The sequence below is a fragment of the Homo sapiens genome, chromosome 4, assembly GCF_000001405.40.
Source record: "Homo sapiens chromosome 4, GRCh38.p14 Primary Assembly".
NCBI classification, from domain to species: Eukaryota; Metazoa; Chordata; class Mammalia; order Primates; family Hominidae; genus Homo; species Homo sapiens.
This window is the reverse complement of record NC_000004.12, coordinates 1,083,365-1,101,588: the sequence shown is the minus strand read 5'-3', so window position 1 is coordinate 1,101,588 and position 18,224 is coordinate 1,083,365. Positions and strand designations below refer to the sequence as shown.

The window sequence follows — 18,224 nt, the reverse complement described above, 5'->3', positions numbered from 1 at the left end:
TTGACCATAACTATTTCATTAGCTTTTTTCTTCCCCAGTAGAACTTATTCATTCTGGAGAATTAGTAGGAACTGGAGATACAGGTGGCAGAGTCATAATCCTTCAACAGGAGCAGATGAACAAAATCCCATCTTAAGCAGAAGGGAATACCATGTTTACAGGACCTTTCAGAACGATGAGCCAGAGTTTGACCACTTGAAAAGTTTAGAAAGAGAAGAAAAGTTCAACAAAGCTAGGTGGTTTCCCTGAGAAAAATTCTGCTCAGTATTGTCTACCAATAATAAAACAATACAATTATGGAAAATCAGTGAAAGGGACAAAAGACCAGAAGGATATAACTTGAAGAGGAAGATGGGGTGTGTAGAGATGCCACCACGGCTACTGCACTGTGAGTGCCAGTCGTTAGGCCCGTGGGTCTAGGGGTCGCAGTCACTCCACAAAGAGCATCTGCCAATGCTCATACTGGTCACACCAACTCAATTCCTGTTAATAGAGATTTTGAAACATATTTATCTGCAGGTGATTTGCAGATCAAAATCAAGTCTTTGGCATCTGGAAATTATAGACAGGAGTTTTAATATTGTGGATATCAAGCCTGACAATATGGAAGAGCTAACAGGTGATTTCAGCCGCAGAATTCCATCTGAACAGCTATAACACATCTGTATCTAGCAGCAGTAAAGGAACTATTTGCTCATGTGACATGAGAGCGTCTGCCCTCTGTGATAGGCATCTACACTGAAGAACCTGATGATTCCAGTAATGGGTCATTTTTGTCTGAAATCATCTAATTTCTGACGTAAAATTCAGCCATAGTGGTCAAATATGATGATAGAGACCATTTGTTAGTCAAAAGTTGGAACTTCAATATGGAAAACGCGGCCGGGTGCGGTGGCTCACGCCTGTAATCCCAGCACTTTGCAAAGCCGAGGCGGGCAGATCACCTGAGGTCAGGCGTTTGAGACCAGCCTGGCTAACAAGGAGAAACCCCATCTCTACTGAAAATAACAAAAATTAGCCAGGCTCAGTAGCACACGCCTGTAATCCCAATTACTTGGGAGCCTGAGGCTAGAGAATCATTTGAACCTGGGGAGTGGAGGTTGCGGTGAGCGGAGATCGCACCACTGCAATCCAGCCTGGGCCACAGGGTAAGACTCCATCTCAAAAAAAAAAAAAAAAAAAAAAAAAAATTATGGAAAATGCCTGTGGAAATGTAACAGGTGCACCAGTAGCTCGGAAGTAAGCTGTGCACTGTGTGAAAAGGACCATGTGTCTGACAAATTCAGTGTTGTTGGAATGGATCTGACGGTGTTGTGACTGGGTCTTAACAATAATTTCAGAATGTTTGACAGGAACACAAAACAAGACCTAACGCTAGAAGTATCACGGGAAAGCAGTAAGCCTGGTACGATTCTGAAACCGTGCAAAGTCCACACAGGCAGCAAGCAAAAGAAGATGAAATTAGTGTTGACAGCCGAGACTCTAGCAAGGAAGTCCTGTGTAAGCCTGGCGCCCCAAGGACAGTATCGTGCTGTAGCCAGTACAATCTGTGTGTTTCAAGACAGTAAATTAGGGCTGGCATTCCTAGTCAGAGAACCCCGTTCCTGCCTAGCGGCAGTGGCTGCATCAGCCTCCATGATGATAAGAGCCCTCTTTTGCAGCGCCCCTTTCCTGTGTCTGACAGCGAGTCACCAACAGCACGCCTTTACAGCTGCGTGAGGAGAGCCCCGTGGATCCCGCACAGGGGTACCCGTGTCCGCTTGCGCCGTCGGACCTTGTGGACTCGATTGCTCTGCACCAGGGTTGATTTCCTCCATTCCTTACGCCCTCTGCCATGATGACGTCAGACGCAGCAAAGGCCTTCAGTCACGCTGTGAGATTTAACTATGTATCCTCGTTACTGTACCATTGTGGCGCACACACCCCCCTTTTAAAAATTAAATACGAAAAGAAAACATTCGTTTGTGATTTTCCTGGGGATTGTGCGAGCAATCTTGACTTTTAAAAGTCTAACAAAAATTCAGTTTTCTTGATGATGCGAGGGCCTCAGCTCTCACCGATCCCCCTTCTCCTGGCCTTCCCCGCCCCGCTCCTGGAGCCACACTGGCTCTCACTGCAGGAGGCCCCACCATACAGTGCTGCCATGGACAGTTAATACTCACTTAGATTTTCCCCCATTTCCCCCTCTTCCCTGCTCCTCGCTGCCTCCCGAATCTCTGTGCTTCTATCAGGAATTATTTTTCTTACCTACAGGGAATTCCTTTATTATTTATTTTAGTGCTGGGCTGTTAGTGTTTTCAGTTTTTGTTTTTAAAAAAATGTCTTTTTCTTGAAGCACATTTTCACAGACTTCAGAATTCTTTGTTGAAAGTGAATGCATCTTAGCACTTTGAAAATTCCGGCACCTGGCTTATCGCCGGCCCTCTGCAATGTGAGTGCCGGGGTGGAGGAATGGCTGCCTGTGTTCTCCCGCTCAGGCCTCACTGAGGTCTGTGCATCTGTGCTGTGATGCCATTTGTTAGTTTTGTAGACTTCTTGGCTGTTCTGGCTCTAGGCTCATCTTCTGGACATCCTGGGGTGTCTGTCATGTGTAGAATGACTCAGTCCCCCTCACCCAGAAGGCCATGGAACCAGATCGATCTGTGACAGCTTCTTCAGTTGCTCCCATTTCTGGTCCATGGAGCTCTTGGTCTTGTCTCTGAGGCATCTGTGTATTTATAATATACCTTAGATAACAGTGACAGTTCCCGCTCCCTGCGCACTCACATGGGCCACGCTCTGCTGGGGGCACTTTTTCTGTATTGTGTCACCTGCTACTTGCCATGGCCGGGGCTGAGGGGGTGCTGTTTCTGCTTCTGTTTTATACGTAGGGAGACCGAGGCATGGTGGAGTTAGGTGGAGAACCAGGGTTGCAGGTCAAGGGTGTGCAGAGCTGGATTTAGGCCAGACTCTGAGCTCCTGATGCCTGTGGTGTTGGACATACTGCTTGTGCCTTTGCAGTTTGGTGTGTATAGGAGGGTGTTACACGGGAGCTCCTACCCCATCCGAGCCAGAGCCAGGTCTCCCCTCTGTTGGGTCTCAGTCCCCCTGTTACAGAGGAGCTCACCTCCAGGATGCTCTGCTTGGCCTCTGCCTCTGGGAGCCTGGGAGTGGATTCTGGAGTGGATTCCAGGACCTCTTCATCTGCACCTGCCCCAGGCTTTGGAGCTGGTGCCTTAATCCTGATCCAAGCCAGTCTATACTCTGTCTTCTAGAATTCTTCAGTCTGGTCAATTCAAGATATCATTTCCTGTTTTCTACCACAAATAGAGTATTTTTTTCCTAAATTTTACTATCATTTCAGTGGGATTTGGGGAGCCACTGGTAGGTAGGTGGATGGGCTTAGATGACTGTCTTGACTCTATGCGCTCACTGTCCTGAACCACAGAATGGGAGGAGGCATGAGGTTCTTCCTACATCTTGTCATTCTGGTGTTTGTCCCTTTCTTTGTTTTTGGTTTTGGATTTTTTGTTTGTTTGTTTTTTGAGATGGAGTCTTGCTCTGTTGCCCAGGCTGGAGTGCAGTGGCATGATCTCGGCTCACTGCAACCTCCACCTCCCGGGTTCAAGCGATTCTTCTGCCTCAGCCTCCCAAGTAGCTGGGATTACAGGCACCTGCCATCACGCCCAGGTAACTTTTGTATTTTTGATAGAGATGGGGTTTCACCATGTTGGCCAGCCTGGTCTTAAACTCCTGACCTCAAGCGATCTGCCCACCTTGGCCTCCCAAAGTGCTGGGATGACAGGCGTGAGCCTCTTTTCTTTGGACTGCTCAAGCGATTCTAGCTCACGGCAGCTCCATGCCTAGGACAGCTGTCGCCTAGTGTTTTGTGCTAATGTGGTCCTGGCTGGGGAAAGTGAGGGAAGGCCAGAGGTGCAGGGAGGTGAGGCAGGGCATCCTGAAGGCACTTGTGAAGGAAGTTGGGAGCGTCTGCATGAGGGCTTGTAACCAAATGCTGTTTCTTTTGCCCAGGCTGGAGTGCAGTGGCGTAATCTCGGCTCACTGCAAGCTCTGCCTCCTGGGTTCATGCCATTCTCCTGCCTCAGCCTCCTGAGTAGCTGGGACTACAGGTGCCCGTCACCACGCCCGGCTAATTTTTTTATATTTTTAGTAGAGACGGGGTTTCACTGTGTTAGACAGGATGGTCTCGATCTCCTGACCTTGTGATCCGCCCGCCTCGGCCTCCCAAAGTGCTGAGATTACAAGCTTGAGCCACCGCTCCCGACCTACGAGACGCTGTTTCTTAAACCTGTGTCCTTTCTTAAGGTCCTTACATTTGCTTTTTAAATAACTCGACATGTACTTGTGACTACATAGTGGTGACTTAATGCTTGTCAGCCTAGATCATCCTTCTGATTTTAGTATGTCTCCATACTAAAGGAGGAGGCTGGGCTGGAGGCCTTCATTCATGGTGACCTTCTGCCCTCACTAAGACCCTTTTGAGGAGGGAGCGTGTCCTTGCCAGGCAGGCTGCTCTGCCTCCTGGCCCTCACCACTGTCCGGCACAGCCCTCAGAGGGAAGTGGCCAGGACGAGGGGCTGTCCTGTTGATCGAGGCTGTCCCTGGCAGGGCCCCTGAGAGGCCATTCACAATGTGCTGGCCACTTGAGTCATCTATAGCTAATTCTAGGTCTTCAAGTACAGTTTTTAACTGGGGGCCAGAAGCGTTTATTAGACACAATAAATGTAGAGTCATTTCTTTCTCTTTCAGACCGACGCAGATATCCAGGCATTCTTCATGAGCATAGACAGTCTGTGTAAGAAGTACTCCAGGGAAACCTCCCAGGTGAGCTGTGAGGGGTGTGGCTTGGTTCCGTGATGAGCCAGGTGCACTATCCCGAGACCATGGAGCTATGAGGGGTGTGCTTGGTTCTGTGATGAGCCAGGTGCACTATCCCGAGACCATGGAGCTGTGAGGGGTGTGCTTGGTTCTGTGATGAGCCAGGTGCACTATCCCGAGACCATGGAGCTGTGGGAGTTGTGCTTGGTTCTGTGATGAGCCAGGTGCACTATCCTGAGACCGTGGAGCTGTGGGGGGTGTGCTTGGTTCCGTGATGAGCCAGGTGCGCTATCCCGAGACCGTGGAGCTGTGGGGGGTGTGCTTGGTTCCGTGATGAGCCAGGTGCGCTATCCCGAGACCGTGGAGCTGTGGGGGGTGTGCTTGGTTCCGTGATGAGCCAGGTGCGCTATCCCGAGACCGTGGAGCTGTGGGGGGTGTGGTTGGTTCCGTGATGAGCCAGGTGCGCTATCCCGAGACCGTGGAGCTGTGGGGGGTGTGCTTGGTTCCGTGATGAGCCAGGTGCGCTATCCCGAGACCGTGGAGCTGTGGGGGGTGTGCTTGGTTCCGTGATGAGCCAGGTGCGCTATCCCGAGACCGTGGAGCTGTGGGGGGTGTGCTTGGTTCCGTGATGAGCCAGGTGCGCTATCCCGAGACCGTGGAGCTGTGGGGGGTGTGCTTGGTTCCGTGATGAGCCAGGTGCGCTATCCCGAGACCATGGAGCTGTGGGGGGTGTGCTTGGTTCCGTGATGAGCCAGGTGCGCTATCCCGAGACCATGGAGCTGTGGGAGTTGTGCTTGGTTCTGTGATGAGCCAGGTGCGCTATCCCGAGACCATGGAGCTGTGGGAGGTGTGCTTGGTTCTGTGATGAGCCAGGTGCGCTATGCTGAGACCATGGAGCTGTGGGGGGTGTGGTTGGTTCTGTGATGAGCCAGGTGCGCTATCCCGAGACCATGGAGCTGTGGGGGGTGTGCTTGGTTCCGTGATGAGCCAGGTGCGCTATGCTGAGACCATGGAGCTGTGGGAGGTGTGCTTGGTTCTGTGATGAGCCAGGTGCGCTATCCCGAGACCATGGAGCTGTGGGAGGTGTGCTTGGTTCTGTGATGAGCCAGGTGCGCTATCCCGAGACCATGGAGCTGTGGGGGGTGTGCTTGGTTCTGTGATGAGCCAGGTGCGCTATGCTGAGACCATGGAGCTGTGGGAGGTGTGCTTGGTTCTGTGATGAGCCAGGTGCACTATCCCGAGACCATGGAGCTGTGGGAGTTGTGCTTGGTTCTGTGATGAGCCAGGTGCGCTATCCCGAGACCGTGGAGCTGTGGGAGTTGTGCTTGGTTCTGTGATGAGCCAGGTGCGCTATCCCGAGACCATGGAGCTGTGGGAGTTGTGCTTGGTTCTGTGATGAGCCAGGTGCGCTATGCTGAGACCATGGAGCTGTGGGAGGTGTGCTTGGTTCTGTGATGAGCCAGGTGCGCTATCCCGAGACCATGGAGCTGTGGGGGGTGTGCTTGGTTCCGTGATGAGCCAGGTGCGCTATCCCGAGACCATGGAGCTGTGGGGAGTGTGCTTGGTTCTGTGATGAGCCAGGTGCGCTATCCCGAGACCATGGAGCTGTGGGGGGCGTGCTTGGTTCTGTGATGAGCCAGGTGCGCTATCCTGAGACCATGGAGCTGTGGGGAGTGTGCTTGGTTCCGTGATGAGCCAGGTGCGCTATCCTGAGACCATGTGTTTTCTGTGTTCTGGAGGCAAGTTCCTTTGAAGATATTTGATCAGCAAATATTTTCTGCCAAAATATTTCTGTGGGTTGAATTTTTACTTTCTTAATGGTGAAACATTTACATACAAAAGGTTCTGATTTTGACAATGTTCATTTGGTCTGTTTTATTGTTTTTGCTTTTGGTGTCACATTGAGACAAAGTGGTCTCAGTCAGTTCTGGGGTCCTTTGCGCAAGATGCCCCCTCCCCATATTCACACGTTAGAATCTCAGGTTTGGGAGCCCTCCCCACCAGATCAGGGTTCTCTGGGTTCAGGGCAGCAGGTTGCTTCTTGACACTGTCCTTCCCTGACAGTCACCCAGGGCCTTCTGCCTCCCAGGCCTCCAATCCCCGCTGAGCCCTGCATGGCAATGCTGGCTCCGTGGGCCCCCCTTCTGGCAGCTGAGCCCCTGCTGTGGAAGTGTTGGCCCCATGGGCCCCCATCCTGGCAGCTGAGCCCCTGCTGTGGCAGTGTTGGCTCCATGGTCCCCTCCCCTGGCAGCTTTTACCAGCTGCTGTGCCAGTCCTCTCAGTTGCGGCTTGTCCATTCTCTACCTGTTTCTTCCTGACCCTCCTCCCAGTCAGCACGCGCCTCCACTCCAAGCCTCCCCCACCCCCAGCTTCTGACGCAGGTCATTGTCCTCTGTGCCCACCCCCACATGCTGAGTGGCACTTCTGGCCTCCTTGGATGTCACCGGACAGCTGCAGTCCACCAGTCTGGGGGAAAGCTGCCAGGAGAGGAAGGGGTCCTTCCCCTGGCCCCCGCCCTGCACTTCCTTTCCCTCTTCCGTGAAGAGTGCAGCTCCCACCGTTGGCCACCCCACCTGCCTTGTGGGGAAAGAGGCCTAGTGGGGGCAGCCAGGATCTGAGGCAGGAGACTGAGGATGGACCCCTGCATGGCACTCTCCTTCATGGGCTTGTGCCTTCAGGCTGTGGTCAGCCAGGTCCCCAAGACTGTCCTCCTCTGGGAGCTTCCTTGCTTCTGAAACAGCCTGAATCACCCACAGTATCTCAGGCTTTCCCGAGGCTGTTGCCGTCTCAAGTTATGCCCAGCCACATCCTCCAAGGAGGTGCCCAGAGGCTCGACCCATGGAAGCCAAGCAGCAGCCAGAGATCCCCAAGAACACTGGGTCAGCACAACACGGGCACCCAGACCAGGATGCCGGCGGTCCCAGAGCCAGCCAGAGGCCCAGGGAAACACCATCCAGGACGCACCTCACCCCCTCACCCTGCTCCATCCCAGCAGGACCCTCATTCACACCAAGTCCCCTTGGGGCCAGAAGTTGCTTGAGTTCATAAAACATGTCTGTTATCACAGACATCAGAGCCACAGGCCGTGCGCTCCAGGGTGGTTTTGCCAAGTGCTGCAGAGGCCAGGTGCTGTCTCAGGAGAGAAGACCCAGCAGACCCGGCCAGCCCCTCCAGCCACCTGTCTGCTCTGCCTCTCGTGCCTCTCAGGCTTCCGGCATGGGCCGTGGAGGTCACAGGCTCTGCCCAGTGACCTCGTGGCCCCACTGTTTGTCAGTTACACTGTGGAGGTGAGCATCACAAACGCAGGGTGGAGTTTTCCCGCAGCTGTGTGACGTGAGGTGGTATTGTAACATTTATGCTCTAATATCAACGTAACATAAATATTGGCATTTGTTACAATATGTTAACACATCATGGATTTATTGTTATTTTTAAATGAATTAATAAATACTTTTAGATTTGTCTCAGTCTTAATTTCTAATAGGGTAAATACCAACAGATAAAACCCACATAAGCAAAGCTCTCTGGGGCCCTCAGTAACTTTTAAGAGTGCAAAACTGGCCCAAGACCAAAACTCTGAGCACCAAGGCTCAGGCCTCAGGACCTGCCCTGGGACAGCGTCAACAAACCACCTCAGCCACTGCCTGCCCTGGTCCACCTTCCTAGTCTAGTTGGTAACAATTAAACATCTTCCTCTTCCCAGTAATCCTCTAAGATCCGTTCCATCCACCCAGCCTCTGCCCTACCACAGGCTGCGTCAGCACTGAGCACGCAGACCCTGGTCCTGGCGTAGTTTGGAGCTCATGTGGACGAATGCAGGCACAGGCCACTCCATGGAGGAGAACTGGTATTGAACCGAAGAGTGAGAAGTGTGCTCCGGACCAGGCAGCCGCCTCTCCTGGCCTCTTGGCGAGAGTCCGCGTGAGTGACCTGCATTCTCCCCCGACTGCCTTGACTCTCAGGCCTTCGCGGCCTCCCAGTTCGCAGGATGCGGGCAAAGCACGCGTGAGCACCGGGCAGCTCTTCCTTGGGGCCCTGGGCTGACCTGGCCCAGCGCAGCCTCTGTGACCATCGCAGCCCTGGAGTTTTGCAATGATTTCATTGACCTGTTTCTCTGGCTCAGTTCAAGAGGCATATTCTCTGCAAGATAAACACTCACTGTCCCTTTTAAACTTTGTTTTATTATTAAAATCTACCCTCTTCTGAGGCCACACCCAGTGTCTCAAGTCTCTGGGCCCCAACATTGGTCAGAGCCAGGCCAGACAAACCACGGAGGCGGCATGAGGCTGCAGGCCTGTGTGGCTCCCCCTAATGGAGTCCTGGAGGCTGGTGTAGACCCTGCAACACCCAGACAAGTGGGTCTTGGCTGCCCCCCAAGCTCATGTGAGGCTCCCCAGCTCCACCCTCAGTAGAACTCACCCCATCTGCTGCTCAGGTCCCCTTGGAGACTTTCCCTGCAGCCCAGTCCTTGCTGCAGCAACACCTGCCCTGCCAAATCAGGATCAGCCACAGACTGACCTCGTCTCCCCAAGGCCTTTCTCTAAGAACAGCCAGACCAGGCACCCCCACAGCCGGGATGAGGCGCGTCTGCTGGTAGGTTCCTCCACGAACATGTGAAGCTGAGAAGCAGAGGCGCTTGCCTGCAGGGTGGAATGTTCCTGCTGAGGGTGCTTTGGAGAAGCTTCCCACACAGGCACAATTGAGTGTGGCTTTGAGGGGCGTGTGCAGGTGTTCCCGACAGGCAGCAGGACTTGAGAAGCGTCGGCAAAGGTGGGAAAGGTGCCCTGGCCATGGCCTGCAATGTGCACAAGAGCTGGGGTCAGGGCAACCTGCGGAGTCCTTCTGTCCACTCCTCTTCATAGCCCACGGGGTGGCACCCAGGACTGTCTTCCCTCCTTGGTGGAGACATAGTCCCCTTGTCGAGTAGGGGAGAACCCTAGAGCTCCAAGTCACTCCGAGGACGCAGCAGCCAGGAAACCGCGAGGCTGTCATCCCTGCTGTCCTGGAGGAGGGCCCCTGTGCAGCCCCATCCTCTGGAGATGGCCTCTCATGGAGGAGGTTGGGAACAAAGGCCTGGCATGTGCTGGGCCTGTCTTTCCACAGGAGGGAAGAAGCCTGCCCTGTGTTTGCACCGGGCCAGTGAGCCATGGGCAGACAAGGCCGCTCCCTCCTGCTTGTGTTATCATCGCAGATGGCAAGGTGGAGTGAAGTGGGGGATGGAGCTAGAGGACGCCGACTTTCAGTACCAGTGGAGCCACAGTTAGCCCTGTTGTCTGTCGGCCCTTCCAGCCTGGTCTTTCCAGAGGGTAGGCACCATTGTCTGAACACTCAACTCATACGAAATAGCTCTTTTCTTCCTCTGAGGAAATCACAGGACTCTCTTTCCTCCTTATGTTGGTACTCTCAGAAACCCAGTTCAAGCTGTCTAGACAGCATGCATGGAACCCGGGGCTCCTGTAAATGGGAGGGTGCTGGTGTCAGGCATGGCTGGCCCTGGGAGTGCAGACAGGCCCACCAGGCCTCTGCCAGCTCTGTGGGTCTCGCTTAGCCTCATTCTGTGTGCCGGCTCTCTTTCCACTTGCCCCAGCCATTGGTCCACACCTGTTTGGTCAGGAGGCCATTCCTCAAACCAGTAGCCATTATCAGAGGGACAGCACCCTGTGATTGGCCCAGCAGTAGAGCACCACTCGCAACTTGAATGGAGCAGGTTGCTGGGGAGACTTTCCTATCATGCCCATTAAGCCTCCCCTGTGTTTGCCCTTGGCCCTGCCTGTGCAAGCACTGGCCATGGGCGTCTGTGGGGGCAGGACACACGTAAGACAAGCACTGTGAGCTCTCCTGAGAGTCCCTCCAGCCTCCTCCTCCCCCAACAAAACTCCAGCCACAGAGACCGTGGATCTGTGTCAGCAGCTGAAACCTATGATCTTTTCAGATTTTAGAATTTCAAGAAAAACACAGGAAGAGATTGTTAGCCTTCTATAGAGAAAAGGTAAGTGGAATTGATTCATTGCCACTTGAATTTTTTTGACCTTTAGATTTAAATGTCAGACTTGTTAATTAACACCTTGCTCTCAAAGGGGATGGCTGCTAGATGCAATATCTGTTTCTCTGTGTGTTTCCAGCTATGGGGACGTTGTCACTGTCTCCTTCTGAGCAGCCTATTTGCCCAACCCTTGTCTGTAGTTACCAAGTAGCCCCTTGGGTGCAGCACCGCATGGGCCTCCCTGCCTGGCCACACTTATCCCCTCAGCCACCTGGGGCAACACTGGGGCCTTGGGAGTTTGGAAGGCAGCTTGAAGGCTTCTCTGCTCAACCATCCCATTTTGAAAAACAAGTCCTTTTTAAAAAACTTTGAAGGTTATGTAGTCGGTAAAGTCAGGAACCCAGCTTTAAAGACAAGGGAACCTGGGGCCGCTTCCCCAAGTCTGGAAGCCAGCTTGTGACCCTGCTGCCTCCTGTCTGTCCATGAACATTCTGTGTACACCCAAACCTGGAGCGGACAGATCACCCTTGGCCCTGCTTGCCAGCCAGTCACTCCCCTTCCATCCTGTCACCCCCACCCTGTCTTGTCACCTTGCCCTGTCCTGTCACCCCCATCTCTCCCCTCACCCCATCCTGTCACCTTATCTTGGTACCCCATCCCTGTCCTGTCACCCCAACCCCATCCTGTCACCCTTACCCCATCCTGTCACCACTCAGGCCATCTTGCTACCACCACCCTGTCCTGTCACCCCATCCCATCCCGTCACCCCTCATCCCATCCTGTCACCCCTCACCCCTACACTGTCCTGTCACCCTGTATCAGTCTGTCTTCATACTGCTATAAAGAATAACCTGAGATTCGGTAATTTATAAAGGAAAGAGGTTGAATGGACTCACAGTTCCGCATGACTGGGAAGGCCTCAGGAAACTTACAGTCACGGCAGAAGGCAAAGGGGAAGCAAGGCACGTCTTACATTAACAGCAGGAGAGAGGGCAGGGGGAACTGCCAAACACTCTTAAACCATCAGATTTCATGAGAACTTACTATCACGAGAACAGCACGGGGGAAACTGCCCCCATGATCCAATCACTTCCCACCGGATCCCTCCCTTGACACATGGGGACTGCAATTCAAAATGAGATTTGGGTGGGGACACAGAGCCAAACCACATCATTCCACCCCTGGCCCCTCCCAAATCTCATATCCTTCTAACATTTCAAAACACAATCATACCTTCCCAGCAGTCCCCCAAAGTTTTAACTCATTCCCGCATAAACTCAGAAGTCCAAGCCCAAAATCTCATCAGAGACAAGGCAAGTTCCTTCCACCTATGAGCCTGTAGAATCAAAAACAAGTTAATGACTTCCAAGATACTATGGGAGTACAGGCATTGGGTAAATGTTCCCATTCCAAATGGGAGAAATTGACCAAAACAAAGGGGCTGCAGGCCCCATGCAAGTCCAGAACCCAGCAGGGCAGCCATTAAATCTTAAATTTATCCTTTTACCCAATGTCTCACATCCAGGACATGCTGATTTAAGGGTAGGGGGGCTCCCAAGGCCTTGGGCAACTCCACCCCTGTGGCTCTGTAGGGTACAGCCCCAGTGGCTGCTTTCTGGGCTGGGGTTGAGTGCCTGCAGCTTTTCTAGGTGCACAGTGCAAGCTGTTGATGGGTCTACCATTCTGGCGTCTGGAGGACAGTGGCCCTCTTCTCATGGCTTCTCTAGGCAGCACCCCAGTTGGGACACTGTGTGGGAACAACCACCGCACATTTCCCTTCTGCACTGCCCTAGCAGAGGTTCTCCATGAGGGCTCTGCCTCTGCAGCAGACTTCTGCCTGGACATCCAGGCATTTCCATACATCTTCTCAAATCTAGGTGGAGGTTCCCAAATCTCAGCTCTTGTCCTCTGCACACATGCAGGCCCAATACCATGTGGAAGCCGCCAATGCTTGGGGTTTGCTCCCTCTGAAGCAGCAGCCCAAATTGTACCTTGGACCCTTTTAGTCATGGCTGGAGCCAGAGCAGCCAGGATGCAGGGCACCATGTCCTGAGGCTGCACGAGAGTTGGGCAGGGGGCCTTGGCCCGGCCCATAAAACTACTTTTTTTCTCTGGGCCTATGATGGGAGGGGCTGCTGTGAAGATCTCTCACATGCCCTGGAGACATTTTCTCCACCGTCCTGGCTCCTGGTTACTTATGCACATTTCTGCAGCCAGCTTGAATTTCCCCTCAGAAAATGGGTTTTTCTTTTCTACTGCATGGTCGCGCTGCAATTTTGTTCAGACTTTTATGTTCTGCTTCCCTTTTAAACATAAGTTCCAATTTTAGATCATCTCTTTGTGAACACGTATGTGACTGTATGCTTCAGAAAAAGCCAGGTCACATCTTGAACGCTTTGCTGCTTAGAAATTTCTTCTGCCAGATGCCCTAAATCATCTTTTTCAAGTTCAAAGTTCCACAGACATTGAGGGCAGGAGCAAAATGCCTCCAGTCTCTTTGCTAAAGCACAGCAAGAGTGACCTTTGCTCCAGTCCCAATAAATTCCTTATCTCCATCTGAGACCTCCTCAGCCTGAACTTCACCATCCATATCACTATCAGCATTTTGGTCAAAACCATTCAACAACTCTCTAGGAAGTTCCAAACTTTCTCACACCTTTCTGTCTTTTTCTGAGCCCTCCAAATTGTTCCAACTTCTGCCCATTACCCAGTTCCAAAGTTGCTTCCACATTTTTAGTTACATTTATAGCAGTGCCCCACTCTACTGGTACCAATTTTCTTTATTAATCCATTATCACACTCCTATAAAGAACTACCTGAGACTGGGTGATTTATAAAGGAAAGGGGTTTAATTGACTCACAGTTCTGCATGGCTGGGAAGGCCTCAGGAAACTTACAATCATGGCAGAAGGCAAAGGGGGAGCAAGGCACATCTTACATAGCGGCAGGAGAGGGGGTGGAGGGGAACTGCCAAACACTTTTAAACCATCAGATCTCGTGAGAACTCACTGTCATGAGAACAGCATGGGGGAAAGCACCCCCATGATCCAATCACCTCCCCCAGATTCTTCCCCTTGACACATGGGATTACAATTTGAGATGAGACTTGGGTGGGGACACAGCCAAACCATATCATACCCCCACCACATTCTGTCACCTCTCAACCCCATTCTGTCACCCCTTTACCCCATCCTATTACCCACTCCCTGCTCCTGTCACACCCACCCTGTCCTGTCAGCCTCTCCCCTGTCCTGTCACCCCCCCACCTCATCCTGTCACCCCCCAACCTTGGTTCTCTCACCCTCACCCCATCCTGTCACCCCCACCCACCTTGTCACCCCACCCCATCCTATCACTGTCACCCCATCCTGGTGCCCCCACCTATCCTGTCACCCCCACCCCATCCTCTCACCCCCACCCCATCCTCTCACCCCCACTTCTGTCCTGCCACCCCCAATGCCATTGTCTCTCCCCCACCCTGTTCTCTCTCCCCCACCCATCCTCTCACCCCCACCCCATCCTCTCTCCCCTACCCCGTCCTCTCTCCCCTACCCCGTCCTCTCTCCCCTACCCCATCCTCTCACCCCCACTTCTGTCCTGCCACCCCCAATGCCATCCTCTCTCCCCCACCCATCCTCTCACCCCCACCCCATCCTCTCTCCCCCACCCCGTCCTCTCACCTCCACCCCGTCCTCTCACCCCCACTCCTGTCCTGCCACCTCCATGCCATCCTCTCACCGCCATCCCATCCTCTCCCCCATGCCATCCTCTCTCCCCCACCCCATCTTCTCACCCCCACCCTGTCCTTCCACCCCTATGCCATCCTCTCTCCCCGACCCCATCCTCTCTTCCCCACCCCATCCTCTTGCCCCCACCCCATGCTCTCACCCCACCCCATCCCCTCATCCCTACCCCTGTCCTTCCACCCCCATGCCATCCTCTCTCCCCAACCCCATCCTCTCTCCCCCACCCCATTCTCTCTCCTCCACCCCATCCTCTCACCCCACCCCTGTCCTTCCACCCCTATGCCATCCTCTCACCCCTACCCCATCCTCTCTCCCCAACCCCATCCTCTCACCCCCACCCCTGTCCTTCCACCCCCACCCCATCCTCTGTCACCCCACCCCTCTTCTGTCACCCCACCCCCTCCTCTCTCACCCCACCCCTTCCTCACCCCCACCCCTCTCCTGCCACCCTCATGCCATCCTCTTTCCCCTACCCCTCCTAGGCCACCACAGCCCCATCATACTCCTTGACAGCCACCCAAAACCCTGCCTGGAGGCTTCTTGCAGGAGCCAGCCTGGGCTCAGATTTTGTTATATTTTGTGTATGTTGTCTCCTAATCCTCCCAGCAAACCTGGAGGATGGGCATAAGCCATGATTACAGACTGGACAGTGGGATCCTAGACTCTAGTCACTCTCTTGGGGTCTGGCAGCTCCCACACACAGGGCGGGGCTCCAGCCTGACAGCAGAGGCTGTGCCGTGGGATGAGCTGGCAGTGGCCGTGTATGGAAGGTGCTTGTGTGTGACTTTGAGGCCAGGTGCTCCCCTGGAAGGGCTGACACTGAATTTGCATCCTGCCGGCTTGTGTGGGGTGCAGCACTGAGATTTGTCCCCTGGGGCTTGGGTTTGACTTCGCTCTGCATGGCCCCCAAGGCCGATTTCCTAAGTGTCTGATGGGCGGAACTCCAGGCAGATTTACTCCTGAGCAGCGTGAGGGCAACTCCATGCAGAGTAACCCACATTCTGATTCAAGGTTTAAGAAATTTAGAGGGTCACATGTCACTCAGCATAGCCTGTCTGATAACAAGAGGTTGTGTAATTATGTTTAGATTTCTAGGTTGGAAGAATCCCTTAGGAAGTCAGTGCTGCAGATAGAACAACTACAAAGGTAAGGCGCCCCACCCCCCGTGAGTGCGCAGTCGAGGCACCCACTGCCATGTGCATTGGTCGTCTGGCTCTCCAAGATCAAGAATGAAAGATGACTGCAGATGCAGAGGGAAGAGCTCGTTCATTTACCAGAAACTTTCATCAGAGCAAAAATGCTGTGGGAAAACCGAAGGGAAGAAGGGAGACAAAAAAGAAAAAGTGAAAAAGAGATGAATGGTTTCCCCTTGGGGCAGGTGCCCCAGTGATTGCTGAGGCAGTGGGAGGGGCCTGGGAGAGCAGCAGGTGCCCCCGGCCTCTCAGAGTGACCCAGCACAGGTGGGGTGGCCCTGCAGCCAGGGACTGCGGGACTCCACCTGCAGCCTGGCTGCCTGCTTTCTGCCAGGAGTCGTAGCCGTTTGCGAAAGGTACATATATGTGGCATGTTCTGTGTATAAAGGCACTGCTGTGAATGGGTGTTGCATCTTAGGAAGAAACATCCAGAGTTGCTAGGATTAACCAAAATGGGGACTTAAAGCATTACATTTCAATATCTGGAAAATCTAGCCATTTGAAACCCTCCTTTCTTGTACATTTTAGCTCATCCGTGCTTTTGCCGTATTGCATCTGTTCTGAATACAGTTTTACTGCATTCCATTTCTGGAATTTGGAATCAATAACAGGCCAGAGTTCAGTTACCACAGTCATACACAGATGTGGCACATATTACGCTCAGCAATGCCTTAGATTCTACGAGACGCGTTGAATAGTCACAAGCCCCCGTTTGCTGGCTGCTACTAACATGGAGGTCGAGGAGTCAGGAGCCCTGTCTGCCTCCCATTGGCTGTGTGTGTAGGGGTGGGTGAGCCTCCAGCGTGTGTGCAGGTGCCCACCTCCCTGCTGTGTCAGGCAGCTGAGCATGGCATGGCCTCACTGGGGCCGTGGGGCCTGTGGGAAGCTGGTGACGCCAGTCACACTGGCTGGTGGCCTTGCTCCTGACACGAGGTTCTGATTGCCTCTGGTGAAAAGGGATTCTTTCCCCTGTCGTTATTTTGGGTTCTAAGAGTTGCCATGGGCTTGTGTTGTGAAGGGTGTGTTCCAGGCATCAGCAAGCAAACTCCAGGCCAAATCCAGCCTGCAGTGTATTCTCTTCTCCTTCCTTTCCTTCGCTTTTTTTTTTTTTTTTTTTTTTTTGAGACAGGGTCTTCCTCTGTCACCCAGGCTGGAGTGCAGTGGCGTGATCTCAGCTCACGCCTCAACCTCCCAAGGCTCAGGTGATTCTGCTGCCTCTGCCTGCCAAGTAGCTGGGACCACAGGCACGCACCACCACACACAGCTAATTTTTTTATTTTGTGTGGAGATGGGGTCTCACTATGTTACCCAGGCTAGTCTTGGACTCCTGAGCTCAAGTGATCCTCCCACCTCAGCGTCCCAAAGTGCTGCAATGACCGATGTGAGCCACTGCACCCGGCCACAATGTATTTTCATGTAGCTGCCAAGCTGACCATGGCTTTTACATTTCTAGAAGATTGTAAACGCATTGCAACGGAGACCTTATGTGGACAGCAAAGCCTCCTACATTTACTAGCTAGCCCTTTGCAGAAACATTTGCAAATTCCTCCTTTAAAGCATCACAAGAGGAAAGGCAGATACTTAAAATGCATCAAAGGGGCCAGGCGCAGTGGCTCACGCCTGTAATCCCAGCACTTTGGGAGGCCAAGGTGGGCAGATTACCTGAGGTCGGGAGTTTGAGACCAACCTGACCAGCATGGAGAAACCTCATCTCTACTAAAAACAAAACACAATTAGCCAGATGTGTTGGTGCACACCTGTAATCCCAGCTATTCAGGAGGCTGAGGCAGGAGAATCTCTTGAACTTGGGAGGCAGAGGTTGCGGTGAGCCAAGATCATGCCATTGCACTCCAGCCTGGGTAACAAGAGCAAAACTCCGTCTCTCAAAAAAAAAAAAAAAAAATGCACAAAATGTGGAATTACTTTCATTTTTTTCCTTGTTGGTGTATAATTTTCTTTCATTCTGTGGATTCGTGTTTTGCATCAGTTCTGTAAAATTCCTGCCCATTATCTTTTCAAGTAGTACCCTCTGCATCCCCAGCCACAACCTGCAGCTCCCCACCCTCGACGTCAGCCTCTGCTGTGATCTCCGTCGTCTTAGGCCACCTGGTCACATGCTGGGTTGCTTCTTCCAGCTCCCTGATTTTCAGGTTAAGCCAGTGAACCCCACTGAGTTTGTTTGTTTGTTTGTTTGTTTGTTTGTTTGTTTTTGAGACAGAGTCTCACTCTGTCACCCAGGCTGGAGTACAGTGGCACGATCTCAGCTCACCTCAACCTCCGCCTGCCGGGTTCAAGCGATTGTCTTGCCTCAGCCTCCTGAGTAGCTGGGATTACAGCCCCACCACGCCTGGCTGATTTTTGTATTTTTAGTAGAGACGGGGCTTCACCATGTTGACCAGGCTGGTTTCGAACTCCTGACCTCAGGTGATCCGCCCACCTCAGCCTCCCGAAGTGCTGGGATTACAGGTGTGAGCCACCACACCC

General features: G+C 52.9%; 1 protein-coding gene and 1 pseudogene across 28 annotated transcripts in view, besides 1 other annotated feature; both read left to right on the top strand.

The window, feature by feature from the left end:
- The window catches only part of RNF212 (ring finger protein 212), a 57,460-nt gene that overhangs the window by 12,122 nt on the left and 27,114 nt on the right, over positions 1-18,224 (top strand). For 18 of the 28 annotated variants that reach the window (XR_007096392.1, XR_924937.2, NR_159504.1 and 15 more), the window contains 3 exons: positions 4,750-4,824; positions 10,751-10,807; positions 15,635-15,693. Coding sequence is in view for 17 of the 28 variants with exons in the window: in XM_047450083.1 (XP_047306039.1) it covers positions 4,750-4,824; positions 10,751-10,807; positions 15,635-15,693 (191 nt within the window). In the remaining 11 variants the exon portion in view is untranslated. Of the gene's footprint in view, positions 1-1,661; positions 1,874-4,749; positions 4,825-7,187; positions 8,281-10,750; positions 10,808-15,634; positions 15,694-18,224 lie in introns of those variants that run through there. The other 10 variants (NR_159501.1, XM_017008040.2, XM_011513439.2 and 7 more) reach the window with 5 other exon arrangements.
- On the top strand, positions 27-878 carry LOC100421802 (protein phosphatase 2 regulatory subunit Balpha; annotated as a pseudogene).
- Positions 9,339-10,318: an enhancer, noted in NCBI's record as "H3K4me1 hESC enhancer chr4:1085059-1086038 (GRCh37/hg19 assembly coordinates)". NCBI's record gives its function as "activates a minimal SCP1, AML or CMV promoter by ChIP-STARR-seq in primed H9 embryonic stem cells {active_cell/tissue: H9 hESC(primed)}" and the evidence as "EXISTENCE:reporter gene assay evidence [ECO:0000049][PMID:30033119]".